Source organism: Homo sapiens, chromosome 11 (genome assembly GCF_000001405.40).
Source record: "Homo sapiens chromosome 11, GRCh38.p14 Primary Assembly".
In the NCBI taxonomy this organism is placed as follows: Eukaryota; Metazoa; Chordata; class Mammalia; order Primates; family Hominidae; genus Homo; species Homo sapiens.
The window spans coordinates 30,889,712-30,913,464 of NC_000011.10; the positions used below are offsets into that span (position 1 = coordinate 30,889,712).

The 23,753-nt window shown below is 36.5% G+C and overlaps 1 protein-coding gene and 1 long non-coding RNA gene across 17 annotated transcripts in view; one reads left to right on the plus strand and one right to left on the minus strand.

Moving 5' to 3' along the window:
• The window catches only part of DCDC1 (doublecortin domain containing 1), a 506,137-nt gene that overhangs the window by 26,109 nt on the left and 456,275 nt on the right, over positions 1–23,753 (minus strand). For 10 of the 15 annotated variants that reach the window (XM_024448478.2, XM_024448476.2, XM_024448475.2 and 7 more), the window contains 9 exons: positions 21,616–21,709; positions 19,235–19,405; positions 16,829–17,014; positions 15,250–15,453; positions 13,771–13,972; positions 10,635–10,787; positions 9,830–9,931; positions 4,537–4,673; positions 3,107–3,286 (listed from right to left, as the gene is read on the minus strand). In XM_024448478.2, coding sequence (XP_024304246.1) covers positions 3,107–3,286; positions 4,537–4,673; positions 9,830–9,931; positions 10,635–10,787; positions 13,771–13,972; positions 15,250–15,453; positions 16,829–17,014; positions 19,235–19,405; positions 21,616–21,709 — 1,429 coding nt within the window. Of the gene's footprint in view, positions 1–3,106; positions 3,287–4,536; positions 4,674–9,829; positions 9,932–10,634; positions 10,788–13,770; positions 13,973–15,249; positions 15,454–16,828; positions 17,015–19,234; positions 19,406–21,615; positions 21,710–23,020; positions 23,140–23,753 lie in introns of those variants that run through there. The other 5 variants (NM_001367979.1, NM_020869.4, NM_001387275.1 and 2 more) reach the window with 3 other exon arrangements.
• The window catches only part of LOC105376611 (uncharacterized), a 32,196-nt gene continuing 8,850 nt past the window's right edge, over positions 408–23,753 (plus strand). The window contains exons 1-5 of one of the 2 annotated variants that reach the window (XR_007062641.1): positions 408–447; positions 694–772; positions 10,613–10,699; positions 13,810–13,889; positions 14,412–15,174. This is a non-coding gene — a long non-coding RNA (uncharacterized LOC105376611). Of the gene's footprint in view, positions 448–693; positions 773–10,612; positions 10,700–13,809; positions 13,890–14,411; positions 15,175–23,753 lie in introns of those variants that run through there. The other variant, XR_007062642.1, reaches the window with a different exon arrangement.

Consider the following 23,753-nt stretch of genomic DNA (forward strand, 5'->3'; position numbering starts at 1 on the left):
CTAGACATTCTCTAAGTGTCCTTTTACACATCTAGGCCACATTAATCTTCCCAAAACATTGTTTTCACCATGCCATTTCTTTATTTACAGGCAAGTAGTGGTTCAAGCACTTGAGTTTAGGATAGTGTTATGGACTAAACTGTGTCCACTCCAAATTCATGGTTAAGCCCTAACCGCTACTGTGACTATATTCGAAGATAGAGCCTTTAAGGAGGTAATTAAGGTTAAATAAAGCCATAAGGGTGGAGCCCTATTCCAGTGGGACTGGTTTCTTTATATACAAGAAAAAGAAGAGACGCCAGGGTTCTTTCTCTCTCCACATGCACACAAAGGAAAGGATATGTGTGAACACAGCAAGAAGGTGGCTGTCTGTAAGCCAAAAAGGGAGGCCTCACCAGAAACCAACCCAGCTGGCACCTTGATCTTGGACATCCAGCCTCCAGAACTGTGAGAAAATCAACTTCTGTTGTTTCTGCTGTTTAACACTCAGTCTAGTATTTTGTTATGGCTGACTGAGAAAACTAATACATATGTATATGGGGTCTATCATATGCTTTTAAACAATCTCTCTGGTCACATCTATCTCTTCCAATTTCTCTGTCCATGGGGCACCTATTTAATACGCTTTATGAATTCCAACACCTATATTTACATGGGTGTCCCTAATCCTTGCTAACCATTTTTCTGCTTAAGGTGTTGAATCTTCTCCATTTCTCAAGTTCCATCAGAGTTCCTGATTGATTCCTCTGTAGAGCCTTGTCTGCCACCCTAGGTGGGTACTGTGCTCCACTTTTCTCAGCTGAGATTCCTGCCTTCACTGCTAATTTTACATTTATCACATTCTATTAGTACTTCTCTCAGAGGAATATCAGCTTCCCTATCATACAACTTTTCCTTATTAAAAAAATCTGGACTTACCGTAAAAAATATAGAACACATAGGAAAACATGCAAGAAAGAAAAATAAATGTCTCCCATAATATGGCCACCTAATAAAATCATTCTAGTCTTTTTTCTATATCTGTGCATATATGTGTGCAGAACTTAACTCCACATGCTTTACATAATGCTTCTTTCACTAAGTATATCTTAAACATCTTTATTATTATTTCAAAAAGGTAGTTTTGAATTACTGTATTTCATCCTATGTGCTATATAATTCATTTAATCAACTCCCTATTGATGAGGTTTTAAATTACTCATAATCTAGCTCTGTTAGAAATAGGCTTGTAATAAATATTCTTAATAAATAGTTGTTGCCTAGGTTCATTAAAATATCCTTGGGATCAAGTTCTGCTTTGATATGTACTTTCTTATGATATGTACAGCCAAATTGTCTTCCAAAGAGTTGTACTTCCAGAGTGCCCATTTCTCTACATTCCCAAGTAAACCTTGGATATAGTTTTTTAAAACTCTGTCAATTTGACATATTAATTTAAAGAGACCACAGACTCTACTGCTACTTACGACTATTGATGTTAAGCTGTCAATTATATAGCACTATTAAGTTTACAAAAATATTTCCACAGACATAAATTAGAAAAATAATTTACAGCATCTAGAATAGGGCTCTTCATATATAAAGCTCATAAAAATTATATGATCATGGAATAAGAGTCATGAAATGCCTTTTATATGCTACACCAGAGTCACATAAATCAAAAAGTCATCCCCCAGTTAGATATAGATATAAGTATTCTTCATCAAAGTTATTGTAAGTTTTTTCTACCCTGAATCTGATAGGCTATCTTCCCCCATTGTCTCAGCTCTACCCTTTACCCATTTATTACTCATTGCATATTCTCTCAGAAATTTATCAGTTCTAGGTGCAATACTTAAGTGCATTTTAACACTTAGCATCTACAACATGAACTCTGATTTTTGAAAGAACCAGCAAGGAAAAGACATTTCAGCTTTGTTATAGTGCTTTTTCTAGGTAGCTCTCTTCTGAAAAAGCTTTCACTATCTTTTTTAAAAATCACTTTCCTTTTTTCCCTACATGTATGAAGATCCTTTACTTGTATTCCTAATTTGGGGTATACATTTTTCATATTTTAATCTCTTATTTCTGAAGTACAACAAATTGGTTGTCAACTTCTGATATGAAATTGCTGTCACCATTCTTAAGCAAACTCCCTGTCAAAGAAGAGTGGTCTCCCTTACACTTTGTAACTGGATTAATGTCCAGGGGCAGAACCATCTCAGGTGGCCCTGCTACTCTATGTGCCCTCACCAGCCTCCATGAACTTCTCCAAGCCAGTCTATTATAGTATCTTGCCTTTCCACACCCCCCACCACCAACAACATCTCTATATGACTTTCACTTGTCCCAGAAAAATTCATGAAAACATTTCACAAAATAAAAAAGACAAACTACTATTTAAGACATCATTGCAACAGATAAGACTTTTAAAAAGACTACCCAAATTCATTTATTATGTGCCTAAAGTCTTCATTTAAAGATTAAGAAAAAATGTCAGAATTTTATCCCTGAAATTACAAACCAAAAATGAACTGTTAATCCTCTTTCCTTAGTCAATACTTTAACTTTGGGAAGTGAGAATTCTGAGAGCTCTAGGACTCTGGGTAATAAGAATATGATAGGCTTTCTCTAATGAGTACCACTGTTTTTCTTAGACAGAACATATCTAGTAAATGATTCGTGGTGGGTAAAAAAAGTTACTCTTGTGAACTGGATTTAAAATGGATAAGGACACATGCCACTGCACTCCAGCCTGGGTGACAGAGTGAGACTCTGTCTCAAATAAATAAATAATGTAATAATAATAAGATAAAATGGATGAGGAAAATTATTTTAAAGTTTAGATTTTACTCTTTGGTAGGAGTGGGTTGAACTGGCACTGTTCTCTGCTGGACAAGTTGCCTATTCAGATTCACATCTATGTCAGACAGCATTGAACTTCACCTTTTCACACATATAAGTTCATTCAATCATGAGATCAATCCTATGAGGAAAGTACTGTTACTATTTTGTGGACAAGAAAATGAGGTTCATAGAAGTAATTTGCTTGACCAAACAATCTAGAAATATCAGAGCTGGGATTCAAACTCAGGCCTATGAAACACTCCTTTCACACTAGATTTACCTCTGAAATAGTTTTGCCCCAGGCATAAGTGCCATCTTCAGGTCTGCCTCCATTTAGATAAATCCACACTCGTTTTGTGTTGGGCTGCTTATACAGGTTGCTCGGCTTGACTGCTATACGTTTGGTTGCAATTGGAAAATTTATTTTGGATTCCATTTCTTGGATTTCAGAAAGGTGTGCCTGTCAAGAAAAGCCCAGAGAATGTTGTGTTTAGAGAACTGTCTGGATAGTGTTTGTGAAGAATGTGATAAAATCCAGATATATCTTGTAATTAATAAATTATATGGAAAAAATTTTAGGAAGTAACTATTAAGTACATTAGCCTCTCTTGTCACTGACTCTGGTAAATTCCCCTTGCTTCAATGAAATGCTAAAGGCAATAACAATCATTAGAATAATAATAATAATAAGGCACTCATTTTGGCAAAGCACTTAACTTTCATTTATAATGTGAAGAAATGCAGAGAGAAGTATTTTTGGACTTTTGCATGATGTTTCTCCTACTGAGAGATTTCTCTGCATCTAACAAATGAGTTTTTTATTAGAATCACATCATTTCCTCTAACCAAGAAATGCAGACAAGAGTATACATGAGTGTTGTTTCAGTCCTTACTTGCTGTCTTTTAAAATACAGCATCCACCCTTATACTTTGCCAGATCCCTGCCAGGCAGCTTTTTATTCTACTTCAAGCATGTCCTAGTTCAATGCTTTGCATTCATTCCCTGGTCAGTGATTTATCCTTCTTAGCTTGGCACGAAGTCTTATTTCTAGGGATGTCAATTCCTTTTGTTCTAGTAACCTTGACTTGGGCACGTGCCTAAGATTTAGATTGAAAACATTTCACGAATTTGAGAAATCTTATTAAATAGGAACATATCATTTTGATGAAAAACTTCACAAAGCAAAAAAGTTTTCCCTGGTCTCTCTCCCCGGTCCTCTCTCAACAGCTGACCTTTATCTTTTTGACTTTTTTATGTCTGGCAATCCTGACTGATTAACCAATTGGACTGAAACCACTTCTTTAATTCTTCACTTCTGAATGTCTCCATTGCAATTAGTATTTTACTCCTTGCTCTTTTTACATATTGAGACATGCCCTTAGGAGTAATGAGCAATGAAGCCAGAAGGCTCAACATGACTACAATTATTACAATTACCTTTGTACATATCCGCTGGGCCTTTTTCTCTTCTTTGCTAAGGTCATAATTTCCAGTCTCCATTCAAACAAAACAGACCCTCATATGAGCTGGCTGTCTTTTAGACAGCTACTCTCCAAATGCCAACTCAATGCTTGGCATATGCTTATATGGTCATAACTGATCAGATGCTGAGAATATATTAACAGTATCATTTTAAAATTCAATATTGTACTTTTAAATACTCATAAAAAGGGCAGAGTCTTTAATGTCCAGAATCCCAAAGAACATACCTCTGTATGTCTTATAAGTTCCATGAGTTTAATTTCCTGTTGAGTCTGTTCGGTCCAGCCTCCTTCAACCACCACGGGCTGCACAGGGCTCTTGGTAGGAACCATGGTGGCTGGCTGACATGCCGCTACTCGCCGCCCTGAGGAAACAAGTCTCTAGAAATTTTGTTTCTGATGATAGGCTTTCAGATTTCAAATAAACTGATTTGGCTCTCTATGTATAAATCGTTCCACACAGGAGCATAAGCTAAAATACTAAATATATCATAAAAGCAAAGATGCCTAAGGTAATAATATCTAACAATACCTCTTTCATATGGGAGCTTCAGGCTTTAAATAGCCAGGATTCATATACATACTCTACAGGTAGAAGACGAAGATAACATGCTGATTTCCACACTGGCCCCAGCCTTGCATCCATGATATGGTTCAGCAGTAATTTAGTCAAATAGAATTCATGACCATATATAGCTCCTATCATCCTTCTAGTCTTGGAACATATGTTTTGTTCTCTTTACTAATAATAAGCCTTTCCCCCACAATTAGCTTAGCAGCCTGGGGATTAAGTATTTCTAAAATAATATTAACCCAAGAGACAGGAATTTTTTTTTCTATCTAATAATACCCTGCGAGCACGATTAGTTTCTGACACCTCTGCTGTGCCCTTTATGCTGTTAGGAAGCTGTAGTAAGAGAAAATATTTATTGGAATACTGTATTCTAAAGAATCACAGGCACAATTTAATAAGTGTGGTGATTCCAATTTATGTGTTCTTACCACTAGACCACTTAAAATAGTTATAAAAGAGGTTTAAAAAGTCACACTTATGAAATTGTTTTCTTTTTCTGTGTTGAAGATATACTCAGCCCACATTTCATATTGATCTCTAAGCTTATTAAGTAAAAATAATGCTTTCTCTTGTATCTTCTTTCCAAAAACCTATATTGAGCAACAGCTATGGGTGAGGTGTTGTGTTGGATAATGCAAGCACAAACATGTTGGAGAATGAGTTCCTGCCTCAAGTTTGGTCGGGAAGGCAGACATCAAGGAAATGATTATACCAATAATGGATTGCAATTGGGCTGCACCGGGAAAGCACAAGATCTATAACAGCTCCTAACAGGAGTTGCTAACCTAGTCTGAGGCACAACAGAAGGCTTCTTAGAGAGAGTAACACTTAGGTTCATAAAACAATAGAATTACTAAAATGAAATTGAGTCTCAATTTTGTTGCCAACATAATCTTAATGTGAAGATTTTTAGACCATGACTCAAACAAAACTGAAAATAATCTGGTACTTATAGAGTATAAAGCACTTGTGCTCTTCTAGCTCAAGTTTATGGAAATAGATCCAGCAATAAAAATAAATGGCAATAATGACTTTTCAGGGAAACCAGAAATGCTTATTATGTCCCTAATAAGCATTTATATGCAATTTATGGATGTGAAGAAAACATAATTGAATCAATCAGTCAATGAGTTACAGTGACAATGCCATTAAGCAATGCACTTTGGAGAAGACCATGGTGGCACCTCACAAATACGTAACACAAATTTATACTAAATATAGTTTTTACCCAACTCTATTTATAGAGTGCAGATAACATTAATTTATGGCCCATACATTTTTATAAATAACATTTCAACAAATATTTTATTTAGAATGCATTTCGAACACTAAAATTTTGCTCAACTACAGAGAGTTCAGCAATAGTTTATCATTTATACTGCTGAGAGCTAGGGATTGAGTATAGAAAACAGGAAAAAACATTATGCATTTTTTGTCAACTTGCTTCTAACGGTCTTAAGAAAATGAATGCACTTGCGCTATAATTTTCATGAAGAGACATAATGTCATCACAAAAGATTTTAGTCTGGGGAAAGGTTTTTATGATAAACTATTATTTACATAGGTATGAATAACATAAATTGAAACCATGCAATAATGTATTGAACGAATTGTTTTTTATTTTCTTATTACATTTTCCCATATATCCTGTTTTATTTCACATGAGATCAGGGGATAGTAATTATAATAGCTAACTATTAATGAGGCATGCCTCTTCCCTAGTCCTATTGTTTCATTTTGAGGATGGAGCTCCACTGATATTGCAGATTATTTTTCTGATTGGAAATTGGGGAAAATAAGCTGGGGATTCTTGGCCCATTGTTTCTCTTAGAAACTAGAGAACACAAGTGCTTTGCTGTTTTTTCATGGGATGAGTCTTGCCCGGACAGCTCTCCCCATTCGCTGTCTTATTGGGAGGCCCACCCTTATTCAGAATCACCTGTGTCTGCAAGGGTAAGCCCACACAATCTGGGGTTTCAGTTAGCAGACTTATTTCGCTTTCACACTAAATTAAATGCTCCAACATTGCCTTTACATGTAACACTGATCATTTAGCCTGATCTGCCATTCCTGCGTTTTACTTATTTATCAGTTTTATAACCCCAAGTGGGTAAACGAGTTGCCTTTTCAGGAATCCTTACACCAATATTTATTGAGTATTTGTTATATACTAACCATGTAGTAAAGATTTGACATTTGTTACTTAATCATGAAAACCCAACAAAGTAATTACTAGTATTATGATTAATGTTAGCAATGTTCATGCTTACCAGTGAAATGTAAAGTCAGCCTAGCACAGTGGTTTGTACATAGCATATGCTCAATAAATGCTTGTTGCAATTACCAATGGCTATAATATAGAATAGCTGATTTAGCAACTATTCATACCTCCTGTTTTAGCCAACCCTGAGGAAGCTCACAATCTTATAGGCCTTGCAGTTAACTAAGACTTGTTCTTATTTATCCTCATAATCTCACCAGCTAGAAAAAGGCCTTCATGAGGGTAAATGTTTTATAAGCATGTGTTGAATTTATATTTAATAGCAGAAAACATACCACTTTGTCAATAGAGACATGATTTATGTTAGCACTCAATTCTAAGAGAAACCACATCAAAGGATCCCTCCAGAATGGACATCACTGACCAAATACAGAGTTTTAAACAGTGGTATTGTAGATGATGACAAATTAACTTAAAATTTTTAAAATACTTGGCCGGACGCAGTGGCTCATGCCTGTAATCCCAGCACTTTGGGAGGCCGAGGCAGGCAGATCACAAGGTCAGGAGATCAAGACCATCCTGGCTAACACGGTGAAACCCCCTCTCTACTAAAAGTATGAAAAAATTAGCCGGGCTTGGGTGCCTGTAGTCCCAGCTACTCAGGAGGCTGAGACAGGAGAATGGCGTGAACCCGGGAGGCGGAGCTTGCAGTGAGCTGAGATCGCACCGCTGGACTCCAGCCTGGGCGACAGAACAAGACTCCGTCTCAAAAAAAAAAAAAAAAAAAAAAATTGAATACTTAATTGTAATAAAAACTGAAGACAATATAAAATCAGAATTTAATAAAGGCAGCCATACCAGGTGCTATTTTCAGTATTTAACTTGGTACAGGAATACAGCTTAGAAAACTCCCTGGAGCGAATGGTTGCAGTTCCATTTATTCTTTAAATCAGTCATTCTACAACTATTCAGAGAACAAATGAGAAGGGTATAGAATGTATAATCTAACATAGGAAAGACTGTCACATAAATGGGTAATCATAATAATGTGATGATGACTATTGGAGGGGAAGTTCAAAGTGGGATAAACCACATTACCCTAGGCTTGGAATGCTGAGGAAGGCTTCAGGAAAGAAGTAACAAGTAACCTTAAAAACACAGAATGAGTAGGAGCGACCTAACAGGACAGGAGAGGGAAAACTTTGAGGTAGAGGGAACTAAAATGTGCCGAAAGCTCAGAGTTAAGAAAGCGCATGGTATGTCTGGGGAGCTAAAAGAAAGCTAAAATGTATGAAGTGTAGTGGGCAAGGAGAAACAGAAACTTACAGAGAACAAGATTATAAAGGGCCACGCTGAGGAGTTTCAAGGATTTGTCCTAAAGATAATAGGAAACCTTGCAAGATTTTGTGCCTAGAGTATCATAATACCTTCGCATTTTTGTATGATAACTTCAACTTCAGAATGTCACCATTATTTCTAGAATGGAAACCGCTGTCAAGATGGAAGCAGGGAGACCAGTTAGGAAACTGTTCCAATGGTCCCAAGGAATATATAGATGATGGTAGCTTGAACTTGGATAATGATATATAGCTGGAGAGAGTTAGAATCATTTGAGATCAACTTAACAGATTCAAAGTGACAAGGCTTACTGAATATTTGCTTGGGGAAGGTGAGAGAGAGGGAGATGCCAAGAATGACTTCCAGGTTTTTGAGGAGGAACACCTGGGTAGATGGTAGTAGAACCCTCTACTAGCAGAAACAAAGGAGGCATTGGTGTTGGGGTAGTATGACAGTTGTAGTTTTGGAAATGTCCATGGAACATTCAAGTGAAAATGTCTAGCAGTAGGAGTGGTAGAAGTTAGTAGTAGTCATTATTTTCACTTACACCCAATTCTTCTTTTGGTAAGAACTGGGTAATAGCCATTGCAAACCACAGTTAAGTCTAATGCAGTTAGGACTAGTTCTGCTATTTATTGAAGCAAGATTCATATGCTTTTAACACAAGACAGCATCAGGAGTTGAAATTCTGCTATGGCAATTACTGAGTTTGAAATGTGTTCCTTCCTAGACTCAAGTCCATAGTACATTGTTTCTCCCCAAAGAATCATTTGTATCTCAAGTCCTGGGAATAGTATAGGGTCAGAAACCTAAGATTCTGTGTTAAAGAGAATGGAAGAAGGAGACCAATAATTGATCACTTTGACTGTGAATAGCATGTCTTATGCTGTATAAAAAGGAGTCATTTTAAGTTACTGACACTGACTTCTGAAGATTTTAGTACTTCCTCATTCAGATTACTTAAAAAAACAAAACAAAACAAAAAAACAAAAAAAAAAACTTCTTCCCCAGCAATACCCAAGGAATGACAGCAAGGTTTGTTTAAAGATTAATTCTGAAGCCCACAAAACGTCTGTTGAGGGATTATTTCAAAAACAATGAGGTAGTTTCTCTTGCCCAGGTATCCTCCTAAGTTTTAATTTTTAAGACGTATGCATAAGTCATTTGATATTCATTTTAATATAAAATTTACAGATATAAAATCAGACCAAAAAATATATTATTAGGTTTTAGACTTTGCTCAAATGATTTCTGTAAAACAATATTTATATATTGTTTTATATAGTACTCTTTAAACACTTGGTATCTAATGGTAGAAAATAACCATTAGCAATTTGGGGCTACATTTTGAATTAAATATGGTTATGCTTGATATAGTTCATACTGACCTTTTAACTGTCTCATTTTGTGTCTCATGGTATCTAGATCAGCCAAAATTCTGTCCTTTTTTAGCCAGTTCTGTTTCTCTAATTTTTCTGCTTTCTGCAAAGCTAGAATAATAAAAATACAAGATATTTTATCAACAGTAATTTATCACGCGCACCAATAATTTATAAAGAACTTTCTGCTCAAAGAAATAGATTCAATTAGAAACAAGTAATTAAAAGGTAAGGGTCATTAAAAGAAACTTCATTTGAAAGATGACAGGGCTTAAGGCATTTCTTTATGGAGTGGAGGGGTAAAAAAAAGAAGAACGATGCTGTTTTATTATATAGATTTACCATATGCAATAGCCATATTTCATTTTCCACTTCCACAAACTATTTGGAGGTGATGAAAGCCTGGCTTGGAACCATTCATTTTTTAAACATCCACCTACTGCCTAAAGGGTGCAATTCTTAAAAATGAAAATGTGCAGACAGGTCGTCCTCAGTGTGAATTAAACTCATTTGTTATTTTCTAATGTATACCATTATTCTCAGTCTTCTCAAGGATCTCTTTATCAACTAAATTAGACATTTTTCCACACAGAATACTCAATTCCAGTAAGAAAAAAACAGGCAAATGTGCAAACATGAGAGTATAGCTATCCCTGTGCACATATTAGTTGATGAACCTTCTGTTCTTTGTATAAATGTGATGTTATTATGTTGATATTATACACATTTAATTCATTTTCTTATGATGGCATAAAATGTATTTCTCTCTCCCTTCATATACTTGCTTGAAAGAAAGCAAAAACAAAAAAGTTACCATTTGGAGGTAGAAATGGTTCACCACAAGACACCCAGATGGCAATAGGATTTCTGAGGATGAGGGTAAGCAAAGACTTGTCTATACCATCCAAACTATCGGATGTCACAGATTTTGCAAATAATCTGTTTTTCACTTTCATTCTTGGATTTTCTGGTGGAAAAAATGACACATTTATCATTGTTCAACGAATAATGAATAAATTTGTTTTCTGAATTTGTTTATTCAAAATATTTTATTATTCATTAATAACTTAATTTGATTTAAACAGGCAATGCCAAAATCAGAGACTAATGCATAATTTTGGTCAGAAACTTCATATACAACCCAAAAAATAAACTAATAAGATTGTAAATATGTTTTAATTTCTTTCTTACACATCACCTAGTTCTGAAAGAAATTTGAGGTGGCTTACCAAAATTCTTACTCTGAAATGGAAAAAATAGAGATAAAAAAATCAAGCACAGGGGAAAGGAGTATAGGAATAGACTAAATCCAGGGATAAAGTACCTTAGTGTTCTTATATTTTAAATGAATAATAATATCTCATTCTGCTGTTTCTTTTTTTAAAAGAACAAAGTAATATGCTTAGAAGAAATAGTGTTTGGTCTATTTACTCTGATGAACATCCAATAAATGTTAGATATTATTTTTATTGTTAAACAGAAATAAATACCACCTTGTTTTTACTTGCTAGAGATAAAGCAAAATTTGGGCTCTGAGCTTCCTAATGGCGAAAGCAAAGAGAAAAACACAATTTCCAGCTTCATATGGCCCACATATAGTGAGAAATTCCATAGAAAATGCACTTTTCCTGGTTCTGAGATCTGAGAAAAATTCATTTAAGGGTCCTCATAAAGAGCCTATTCGTGATATAGCTAACAGTACCCTGCAATAGAAAATTAATATATATTGAGAAGTTACTATATACTGGGTATTTTATTAAGGCCTTTACATACATCATCTCATGTGATTCTAAAAATGATACTCTGAGACTCTGAGTTAGGGCTTATTATCAGTCCTCTTTTACAGATATGATAACTGAGCTTTAGTGACATAGCTGGGTGATGGCAGAGTAAAGATTAGAATCCAGGCCATCTTCCAGTGAAGCCTGTGCTCTTAATGACTGCCTGCATAGTAAGCACTATGTTGAATTCTGACCAACAGCTGTTTCTTTAAAGTTCCTTAATGCAAACTGATGGCATAACATCAAGTCACAATTCCATAAAAGGGGGCAGCCTACTGATGGGCTTGCCTGATTTAAGGATACCCTTTAGAATATAGAGAGGAAGAGATGGAATCAAAAGAATGCCCTTTTGATAGTCCTACACTAATAATATTACTCCAACCAGGCTTTAAATAAGAATTTAAAGAAGAGTGTTTGAAATTGTAATTTTATAAAACCTGAAGTTCAGATATTCTGTATGCCAAATAAAGGCAGAAATATATGCTTCAGCAATCAGCTAGGCATTAAATGTTCACATAATTCTTTCTTAAAACTCGTTTGAATACAAAATAAGTAATATCCTATACACAAAAGTGATAAGTAATTTCACTGAATGTTTGGTAAATATCAACCAGGCATTGTTCTAAGTTATATATGTGCGTGTGTGTATATAAATACACAAATGACTATTATTCATATTTATGAGGACCAAATGAATATATTAATAATGATCAAACGAATACAGATATTGAATATATATACACATATATATGTGTTCAAGTGAAAATATAGATATATAGATATACTTGCTATGGTTTGAATGTGTGCTTTCCAAAATTCTGGTGTTAAAATTTAATGGCCAATGTAATGATATTATGAGAGATAGAGACTTTAAGAGGTGATTAGGTCATAAGGGCTTCTCTTCTTGTGAATAGAATTAAGACCCTTATAAAAGAGGCTTCACACAGTGCTGGGCTCCTTTGCCCTTTCTGTTTTCCACTGTGTGAGGACAAAACATTCTTCCCCTCTGGAGAACGTAACCCTCACCAGACAACCAGATCTACCAATGCCTTGCTGTTGGACTTCCCAGCCTCCCGAATTGTGAGAAATAAAGTTCTGTTCTTTATAAATTAACCAGCCTGTGGTATTCTGTTACAGCAACAATAATGGACTAAGACAATGTTATCTATATAATGGAGACATGTTAAATATATATACACATATATGTGTGTGTGTGTGTATATCCATATCCATGAAGTAATTGACAATTTTACAAATAGTAAAATATGTACATTTTATGTAAGAAATTTAAAATAGTAAAATTAGTTAAAAATGTATCCTAACTTTATAAATAAGAAAATTGGAATACAAGAATAGTTAAACGACTTACCCAAGGCCATTGAGCTAGCAAGTGACAAAGCTGGGATTTGAACCCTGGTATTCTGGCTCCAAAATCCAAGTTCTTAACTTCTAAATTATGCCTCTCAGTACAACCATGGAAATCTCATACTGAGAAAACTACTGAATCACTACTACCAAGACTTGCTTTTATTTAGCAGACTGTCGTTTGGGACACACACAGTCACTGCCCTCAAATTGCAAATAGTCTAATAAGACACACAGCTATAAACAGATCATTATCATGCAGTGTGTCCAAAAATGCAATAGATGGATATTGACTGGAGCTTCTGGGAGATAGTAAAAAGTGGAGAAGACAGAGACAGGGAAGGGGACTTGAATGACAGTAAAAGCATAGAGAGGACACCTTCTCTTCTAATAGTAGCAAGAGATTTCCATTGACCCAGCCCCAATTTCTTAAGTGGTCTCCAGTTGGTTTGGTTCTGAGTAAGAACAAAACCAGTCTGTTCTTACTCAGTTTGGTTCTGAGTAAGAACAAAAAATGATTATGTTCCATAAAGTAGCTGAACTGTCAAACATATTTTTATTAATTATATGCAGTTTATTTATTGTTTCAGTGCTAAAATCAAAATTTGCATTAATTTTTAACTTTTCTTATAATTCTGCAAGGTGAAAACAACATGACAATTTCATTGACACTCTTCGGGTCACAAAAGTAGCTTCCTATGATTTTGAAATTCTGAAAAAACTGACTAAATGAAATAATCATGTTTAACGTTTTCATGATCAAGCATAAGTAGAATCAGCTAAATGCTGTAGATTGTAGCCAACCTTCCATACTTTCAACAATTATCTGTTCTTTTCCAACAGGAGCTGCATCTTGCTTTTGTTTCTCAGAGTCTCTCTGGAGAAAGGATTCATCTAGAGCCCATAAAACCAAATCACGCAAGGTAAAGATTGGGGTTCCATCTTTGGTATATACTTTGGAGGCTGCTCTGGCAAGCCCAAGTTGTTCCGTGCATTCTGTAAGAAGCTAGATAACACAGGCAGTAAGGATCTGACAGGCAAAGGTGATAGCATTGGGAATGATCATTAAGAGCTTGTCATTCTAAAAATCTGAAAAAAAAAATAATTGAATTTGAGAAAATAGAAAGCTGAATTACTAATGATGCTGATCTTTGATTACAGACTATTTTGGATATTAGATTGTCCTACCTAATTTCACAACAGTAGTCCAATCCAGCTGTAAATTTCCTATCTCCACAAATTTAACATGGCAGCTGACATATATTAATATATTTTAGCATCAGAGTATCTTCTAAGAATTGTTCAACTTAAAAATCCACTTTCAAATTTGTTGCTTTATGTTATACAACTGTTGTAATACTTCATACTGATAAACCGCTTTAAAATAAGTAAGTAGTTAACCTTCAAACCAAGAACTGACAGGTATTATTACCTCCATTTTGCAGATGGAAAAACAGGATGAAAGATTAAAATTTTTGTCCAAGACCATAAAAGCCAGCTGTGGATCCCTGGGTGAATCTTGGAGTTGCTAACTTCTGTATTTTGCTTAGTTTATTGAGTAACAATACCTTAATTTAAAAAAAATATTTTCAGCCAAAGAGGTGAGGGAATAGATATGTGCGCTTGCAAGGAAGTCTGCAGGGTAACTCCATATCATATCAAATATCACTTGTAAAATACATTGCTAAAGGCATTGGCCAGAGTGAATAGTCAAGATAATCACCAAGTAGTGCAAGGACAAAGCTGGGTTTGGGCCTTCTAGCTTCTTCTCTCTTCCTATGACTGTGAGGAGCAGCCCCCAAGGCAGACCAGGTAGTTCCTCCTAACACAGCCCCTGCTTCCCCAATTTGAAAATAAAATAAAACATCCTATCAACACATAAATGCCCAGATACTCCAGATGGTGAATGAGGTGGCATCTCTTGGATGATTCAGATGACATACAACTTGAAGCTGGCATGAGAAACAAGGCAGAAAAAGGCATTCAGTCTATCACAAGAAGGAAGAAAATCCAGTAGCTTTGTTTTCCTCTTTCTTATAGATCTCTGCTCTAGAGCCAATCTAAAAACTGAATTCTGGTTTCTAGTTTTTCTAAGTCTGTATCCACTGACATACAATCAAATAAAATGTCTTTAAGTAAACAGAGATCTTCATCTCATCAGCTTTAACTGGTGAATCTGGCCAGGGACATTTATCACTCAATCCCACTGCTTTTTCTTTAAGAAGAATTGCCATTGTCATTACCTCTGAAGATGCAAGCAGCATTTAAGTGATAGCCACTTACCATGGGGAATGTTCCAGCCACAATTAACTTCCCATTACGATACCCATCCCCATTTTTGTATGCAATTATTTTCACTGCCTTCTGGTGTGTGGCTGCCATGCCACTGTGAGATGCAGCTTGCGTGCAGGTCTTCATCCGTAAAGACAATAGACGTGCTTGGTAGTAACTTAGAGTTTTTTCAGCCTTGTCACACGACAAATCAACCTAATTTTTTAAAAAATAAATTGTACATTTACTCAAACTTTCTTGTTTTAGTGTGCTACACTTTAGTCTCTTAATAAATGTGTGTATACGTGTGTGGTGTCTACATTTTGCAATGCTCTCTTCATGTTTTATAGATATTGAATACTAGAGCCGGAAGGATGTTGGATCCAAATTCTTCAGTTCCCTCCCAGGCCTGTCACTGAGTCACTAGGTGACTTTGGGCATCTGGCTTGTGTTTCTGGCATTCTCTTGTTTTTGTTTGTTTATTTGTTTTTTGCTTTCTCTCTGCCATGGCCAGAGAGAGCCTGGATTAAAGTAATAATACACTAACATTATGGATAGCCTCTGAATTTTTAACTTTAGGATGATTCCACCATATGGTGGAAGATGTTGATGAATGGGGAGGGGAATGGTTGTAGCTTTAAACACATGGTAGTAAGGGTGGTGAACACCACTCTTCTGCTTTCCCTTTTCATCCCAACCTAGGATGCTGCCCTGAGGGCAAAGTTCTGTCTGAAATTCTGTAGCACTGGGGATTCTTTCCAACCAACTCCTCACCATCTCCTTAAGATTATCCCACTATCTTCAAAGCAAACCAGATGCTTTCAGGTTTCCCAGAGGACTGACTTCCTTTCTCCTTCAGAGCTATTGCTTCTGTTGATGTTTTTTGTAACCGCAATGCATATCAGGATTAGGGAAGGGAGGAGGGTGATCTGGGGATGAGGTGAGCAAGCCCTGAAGAGCACACCAGACTGGAAGATATATTCCACCTTTTAGGAATCGCTCCTTTTTATTCAGGTGTGTAAGTTCCCATAGTTTTTACTTCTACAGTTGAAAGGGAGGGTTTTTTAAATGGTACCATTTTAAACAAAGGTTATAGGAAAGCGGTAAGAGTTTTTTTTGTTGTTGTTCCTCCGTGAACTCTAAATACTATTAGACATAGACGTGTGAATTCAGGCACCCAACCTGAACAGTCATTAACAACAACACATCCAATTCCCCCTGAAATGTTCCATGCTAGTAAAAAGAAGTTTTTTCCTGTGGATATAGGCAAAAAGCTGTTCCACGAAGTAAAGATTTGCAGTTACTTCCTCACCTAAAAGCAACACTGAGAACAGTGAAATATGTCAGTAAATGATTAAAGCTGCAGAAGTGCCCAATTAACTTCAAAGAGTCTATTGAACTATTAATAGACAATGCATTTTAAATTACAATGGGGAAAAGGAAATCAATGCAGGTAGAATGGTAAAGGTGCATCTGAGGAAGATGAATTGGATGAGTGGAGATGAACTTGAGTGCAAGGCAGATAATGAATGCATCAAAGTTTCCAAATTGTTGCCATACATGCATTAGCAGAGCTCAGATCATTACATACCTCAGCCACACTGATGACCTTGAAGGGCCCTTGTAAGAAGGGCTTCTGAGTCTTGGTGCCTGAAATACAGAGGAATGGAACCCCTGGAAGCAATTGTTTCAGTCCTTTCTCTGTTCTCATGGATTGTCCACAAGCCAAGCAGAGCATAGTTTTTCTCTTTCCATCAGGTGAGAGATAACAGTATCCCTAAAATGGGAGACAAAGATGGCTTTATATAGGAGCATCTAAATTGTTATAGCATTGCTGTAGAACATTTTACAATATAAATATAGCACTTTTAACACCCCAAAATGCTAAATTTAAATTTTATGCTAAATTTAAATTTAGCATAAATTTAGCCAAAATGCTATATTAAAAAATTTAAAGTATTTCCAAATTCTGTAACGACAATTCGACACCAATGAATATAAACTATGTGCAAAATCAGCTTCTTGGAGAAATGGCCAGCTCCAGATTTGAGGCAAGAAATATACAAGACAATCAAGGGATATCTTGTGTCCTGAATGAAAAGAAGCCATCATCATGTCCAAAAGACACAGGAGCCAACATGAAGGAGCCTCCACTGCCCCAAAATGGGACAATTAGGGAGCAACAGAAAGACTGATAACTAAAACATTTTGAAAATGTTTAAATATAAAATCCTATGAGTTTTAATGATGCTAACAATATAAATAAAAACAAATAAACCCCAAGCAAATAAAAACAAAACTGCAACTTTTCGGAGACTGTTGGAAGTAAACTGGCATCAATTTAAAACTCTACAAACTGGCCACTAGAAATTGTGGCAGATTATTTGTAAAGATGGCCACAATAAAACCATCCCACTCTTATTTGCATGCCCTTTTAAAATGTGACAGTTTTGGTCCTCCAATCGGGAAGTACGATCTTTCTCCTTTTCTTCTTTCCTTGAATCTGGGAAAGGCCATGTGACTTGCTTTGGCCAACACAGCACTAACAAATGTGATGCAAGCAGATGCATAAGAAGTGCTTGCACATCAGAGCTTATTCTCTTTTAGCTGCCATTGGAACCCCGAGACCACAATGTGAACAAACTTGAGCTAGCCTGCTCGAGAAGACATGTAGTTGAAGAACCAATGTTCCCAGCTAACAGCCTGCCAACCACCAGATGGTGAGGGACGCCATCTTTGACCATCCAGTCCCCATAAAAACACCCAACTACTAAAGAACCACCAGATGACTGTAGCCACATTAGTGACCTGGGACAAGACCAGCAGAACTGCCCAGCTGACCCCAGCTCTAATCGCCGGCTCGCCAAGCAAAAAATGGGTTTTTTATTTAAGCCACTAAATTTTCAGGGGTTTTGTTACACTGCAATAGATAAGTGACATCAATAGAAAGAATTAGGTGTTCATCCTACCTTCCCTTACAACCATATTTTTGAGTAGTCAAATATTGAATTGATGAGCTAAAGTTCTTCCTTCTATTAAAAGTTTAGTTAATCAATGTAGGAAAAAATGATAGAATTAGACAAAATTGACCCTTTTGAAACAAGAGGGCAACATTAAGTGAAATGTCTTTGGGGAATTTTTAAACATGAAATCAGGTTGTAAACACCTGAACCCACTCATAACTATCATGACTGAAAATGGAAAACCCACACATTGCCTATGTGAGTGATAAATAGGAAACATGTGGGAAAACCTATGAAGATTCTGGCCCCAAAAAATGTTAAACATAAATCTAATTACAACTATAGGACTCAATTTCATTTAGAGAAATTATGGGGGATGGGGAAATAAGTCAAAGGATGCCACAAAGAAGAAAGTAAACAAACCCCATTAAGGGGCATTCAATATGAAAATGGAGCCAGACTACGCAACTGAGTGTCACATAGAGACCTTATTTGAATCTTGACACAAACCAACAAACCATAAAAAAAAAATGTTAGGGCAACCTGGGAAATTTGATTAAGGATAGAGTATTAGATGGCCAAAGAATTATTGTTAATCTTGTTAGCTGTGAGAATGGCATGATGAGTATGTCAGAAAATGTCCAAAATTTTTGGAAGTATGTGATTCATACGGAGGTGAAGTAATATAATGTCTGGGGTTGGCAAACATGGCAAAACCTAGATAATAGTTAAATATGAATGATGGATAAATAAAGACTTATTTCCCTAGTCTCTCTACTTTAGAATATGTATGAAAATTTCAATTATAAAAATTTTAAGTACATTAGATTAATATAAACTACCTAATTCTTTTTCTCTCACAATTTTCCTTCATTCTTTCCTACCAGAATCAGAGTCTAAGTGATTTCACTCAAAAATCAGCATTCAACTTGTATGAACATAAAGTTTTCTAGGGAAAAAAATTTTCTCATTTTATTAAATTACTCTCTTTTACCCTATTTTTCTTTTATCTTTGAGAGGAAGGAACCACTTACTGGTTGATCAATGTTTTCTTCTTTAATCACAGATGATGTACAGACACCAGCATAATTTGCTGATGTAATTTCCTTATCCAAGGCAGTGCTATGAAAGGCCACAAGTGCTTTTATATTTTTCATGTAATGCCACTTTTGATTGGCAGCTCCATTGTTGTACGGCTTATATTTCTGAAAAAAGAGGCAAAATATGGAGTCAAGTGAGTTCATGTGAGGGTTATAGTGTCTTGTTTTTCATTGCATATATCCAGAAAGTGCAGATAATTACTCATAATCCCACCACACAGTGACAACTACTACTCTTGAAATTTTAGTGATTAGACATGCAATCTTTTATATGTTTATAAATACACATTATTTGATTTACAAAAATAGAATCATAAAATGCATACAATTTGGTAACTGCAATTTTTTTTCTTAACAATATTCCCTGAACCTTTTTCTAACATCTTTTAAAAATATATACCATTTCATTTTAGGGATATTTTACTAATCTCCAATAGTTAAACATGAAGGTTCTTTCTCAAAATTTCTCTAAAATAAACAAATAGTGTAAATAAATATTTGGGAAATCCATGATAATTTTTTAGGACAAATTTCTAGAAGTAGAGTTGCCAATAAAAAAATCATTTTAAAGATTATGATATATCAAAATGCCTTCTAGAGAAATTATTTTACCTTGCACTTGTGCCAATAATATACTAAATGACCCATTTTCCTTACATTCTTGCCAAAAAATGGGCAATATTTCCAAAACATGAATATAATAAATGAAAAAAAGTACCTTGTTGATATTTTAATTTATATTTCATTGATTATCAAAGAGGTTTATTTTTTAAGTACATTCAGTTAGACATGTAATAGAAACAATATATTTATTCTAATTGTGAAAGTTGGCTCAAGTACAAGTAAAGAAATAGTTTCAATTTAACAGAACTTAAACCAGTAGATTAGTTCTAACTAAATATGTCATAACACCTCAAGGAACTTTTATAATTAATAACATCTACTTTACCAAGCGAGAGCTTAATAGCAAAGAAGAAAATAAATGAGTCCCAAGAATTAATTTAATGGGTCAGACAATAAAGCCTCCCTCAGAGGTCTGAAAAACCAAAGACTATATTTTCAAGGGACAGAAAAGGGTCTAGTAGCATTAACCTGTGATGCTTCATTTTTATTATTTTACATGAACTTTAATATTTTCTCACAAACGAGTTGTTTCAATAAACGCAACACCAGCAACAAAAAATTCTTGAAAGGTAATCCAAATTACCTTGGGGTCAAATTATTTCTTATGAAATGGTAACCTTGGGAGAAACCATCCATATCTATAATTTTATGAATATGATTAAGGTACTAAAACTGTATGTGTATGAGGTTGTATCTCACTGTGGTCTGTGCTGATGAGGCACCTGACAGAGAAGAATGTAATGTTATATGTACTCTATCTCCTAGAATAATTTTTTAGTCCATATTTATCACCAGGATAGCAGACTTAATTAAGCTTTGGTATTTGTCCAGATTGCTATGTCTCAATTTTGGATTCAGGGCCTGCAAAACAAGTTGCTTCATTGCTATTAAAATCACAGAATGAAACAAATGTTATCTGGAGGCAATCTATTCTGTTCAACAAGAGGATGGAAAATACTGAGGAGGACACAGAAAGTACATGCAAAGCAGGAATGCCTCTTCACTTTCTCCCTTACTAGCAAGGAAAAACACATATTCGTTTAAGAGTGGTTTTGGTTATAAGCATGTGAGAATGACAGAAAAATGTGAAAAAAAAAAGATCTTCCCAGGTCTTTGTCCAAAACTCAAATGAAGCCAGACTTCTCTGGAGTCTCCATAAATTGTCTGGCTGCTTTAAGCATTTGCAACAGTGAATGAAAAGAGAATTTCAAATGGGTTGTTTGGTAGAATTAACATTGAGGATCTTGCATCCTTCGGGAAGACCTCCCTGACTAGGTTCTTTCTCTCCAGCTGCCAAGGCCTTTATAAACGGGAGCCTTGCATATGTTCCTGATGATCAAATTTAGGTGCATCTAATAGCCATCCACCTGCCTGCAGCCACCACTGAGACCATAAGCTTGATGAATGCTGTTGGGACAATTTCTCATGCTTGCCATTGGGTTTGATTTCAGTAACTAGCATAGTGCCTGACATGCAGCAAGCCCACAATCACCATCTGTTGGATTAAACTAAATTAAGAGGTACATGAACATGTTCAATTTAAAATCTAGGCAGACTATTGTAAATATTTTAACAACATTCAAATAGGATTCTATGACAGTTTTTTTTTTTCCTCCACTACAAGGAAGCACAAAGCTTTACTTAAATTTAATTAAAAGGCCATGACTAATCTTTAGCCATACATATCTTACCTGAACAATAACTGGATAGCCACAAACTTCATTTCTAGTCTTGGTCATAGACACTGCCAGCACAAGGTCAGGGTTACTCACAAGGTGAAAGGTCCTTGGGAAAACAGGATTAGCCACATTACAAAGTAGCATGACCAGATTAGATCTCCCTCTGTGCCACTTAGCACTGTGTTGCCTCTCAGCTCCATGCATGCTCTGTAATAATGAATGTGAATCCTTTAAGAATTTCTCCCCTACAGTAAGTGTGATGTTAAGCTTTCTCAGTAGAGAGTGCTGGAAGAAGACTGCAGGATGAAGGGGCTCTCCTGCTCTTTCTGGCTGTGGTAGGGGGTCAGCAGTTGGGAGTGAGAACACCCAATGATGCTTTGTTCCAGCGAGGTGCCCAGGAAGCAGGTCTCCTGGGACCTTCATAGCCCGGGCTTGCCTATTGCTCCTTTGCTCACTTTCTCCTGACATGGACACCACATGCTTCAGGCCTCCTAGTGTACCACCATCCCATTCCCTCTGAATGCTGCTGTGCCCAGCAACAGACTGCACCCCCCTATATGTTCCAGAATATTATGTCCTGCTCACTCAGTGTTATGGTTTGAATGCCCCTCCAAAACTCATGTTGAAACTTAATTCCCAATGTGGCAGTATTAAGAAATGGAGTCTTTAAGAGGTGATTGGATCAAGAGGGGTCTGCTTGGATTAATCCATAGATGAAAGGGTTAATGGATTAATAGGTCATAATGGGAGTGAAACTAGTGGGTTTATAAGAAAAGGAATGTGACGTGATGTTCTGTGCTGTATGATGCCCTGTGCCATATGATGACCTGTGCCATCTCAGGGCTCTAGAGAGCCCCCAGCTGCAAGAAAGCTCTCACCAGATGCACCCCTCAACATTGGACTTTCCAACCTCCAGAACTGTAAGAAATAAATTTCATTCCTTATAAATTACTCAGTTTCAGGTATTCTTTTTTTTTTTTCTTTTTTGAGATGGAGATTCACTCTGTCACCCGGGTTGGAGTGCAGTGTCATGATCTCAACTCACTGCAACCTCTACCTCTTGGGTTCAAACGATTCTTCTGCCTCAGTCTCCCGAGTAGCTGGTACTACAGGCATGTGCCACTACGCCCAGCTAATTTTTGTATTTTTAGTAGAGACGGGGTTTCACCATGTTGGCCAGGCTGGTCCAGCCAGGTGATCTCAGGTGATCCTCCCACCTCAGCCTCCCAAAGTGCTGGGATTACAGGCATGAGCCACCATGCCCGGCCCTGTTTCAGTTATTCTGTTATAAGTAACAGAAACTAGACTAAGACATTCAGCCACTACAGACAAGCTCTGGCCAGGTACACCAGCAAAACTGCTCTGCAATTCAGTGGAATGGAACCATACCTTTTTTAATGAGTCCTGAACCCTAGCCTTGGGGAGGGGACCCCATTGCAAGTTTATCCTTTCTTGGGCAATCTCCTTCAGCCATAGGGTGATATATATTATATACATATGTAATGTACATGGGTATATATACCCTAATTTACTAGCCTGGGTAAAATATGGAGGATAAAAAGACTGTGGTTAACATAAATGCAATTTTCCATTAAGTTCTACTACATAGTGTAACCCACGGTTCTCTAGGTTTCACCAGCTCATCAAAACAAATGAGTTTTAAAAGCCACCCATCCACATGAAAGAGAACAAAGCAATATGTCAAGGGAAGATGTGCAATAAACCTCAGAATTACTGTCGCTGTACAAACACACTTCTGCCATGGGACATATATTGTTCTGAATCATGCCCACACCTAATCAACAAGACTTCTGCAAAAACTCTTGGCCGGGCGCGGTGGCTCACGCTTGTAATCCCAGCACTTTGGGAGGCCGAGGAGGGCGGATCACAAGGTCAGGAGATCAGACCACGATGAAACCCTGTCTCTACTAAAAATACAAAAAATTAGCTGGGCGTGGTGGCGGGTGCCTGTAGTCCCAGCTACTCGGAGAGGCTGAGGCAGGAGAATGGCATGAACCCGGGAGGCGGAGCTTGCAGTGAGCCGAGATCATGCCACTGCACTCCAGCCTGGGCAACAGAGACTCTGTCTCAAAAAAAAAACAAACAAAAAAAACTATTTTGTTCAAGTCTGTCTGGGTGTCCCTAGAGGG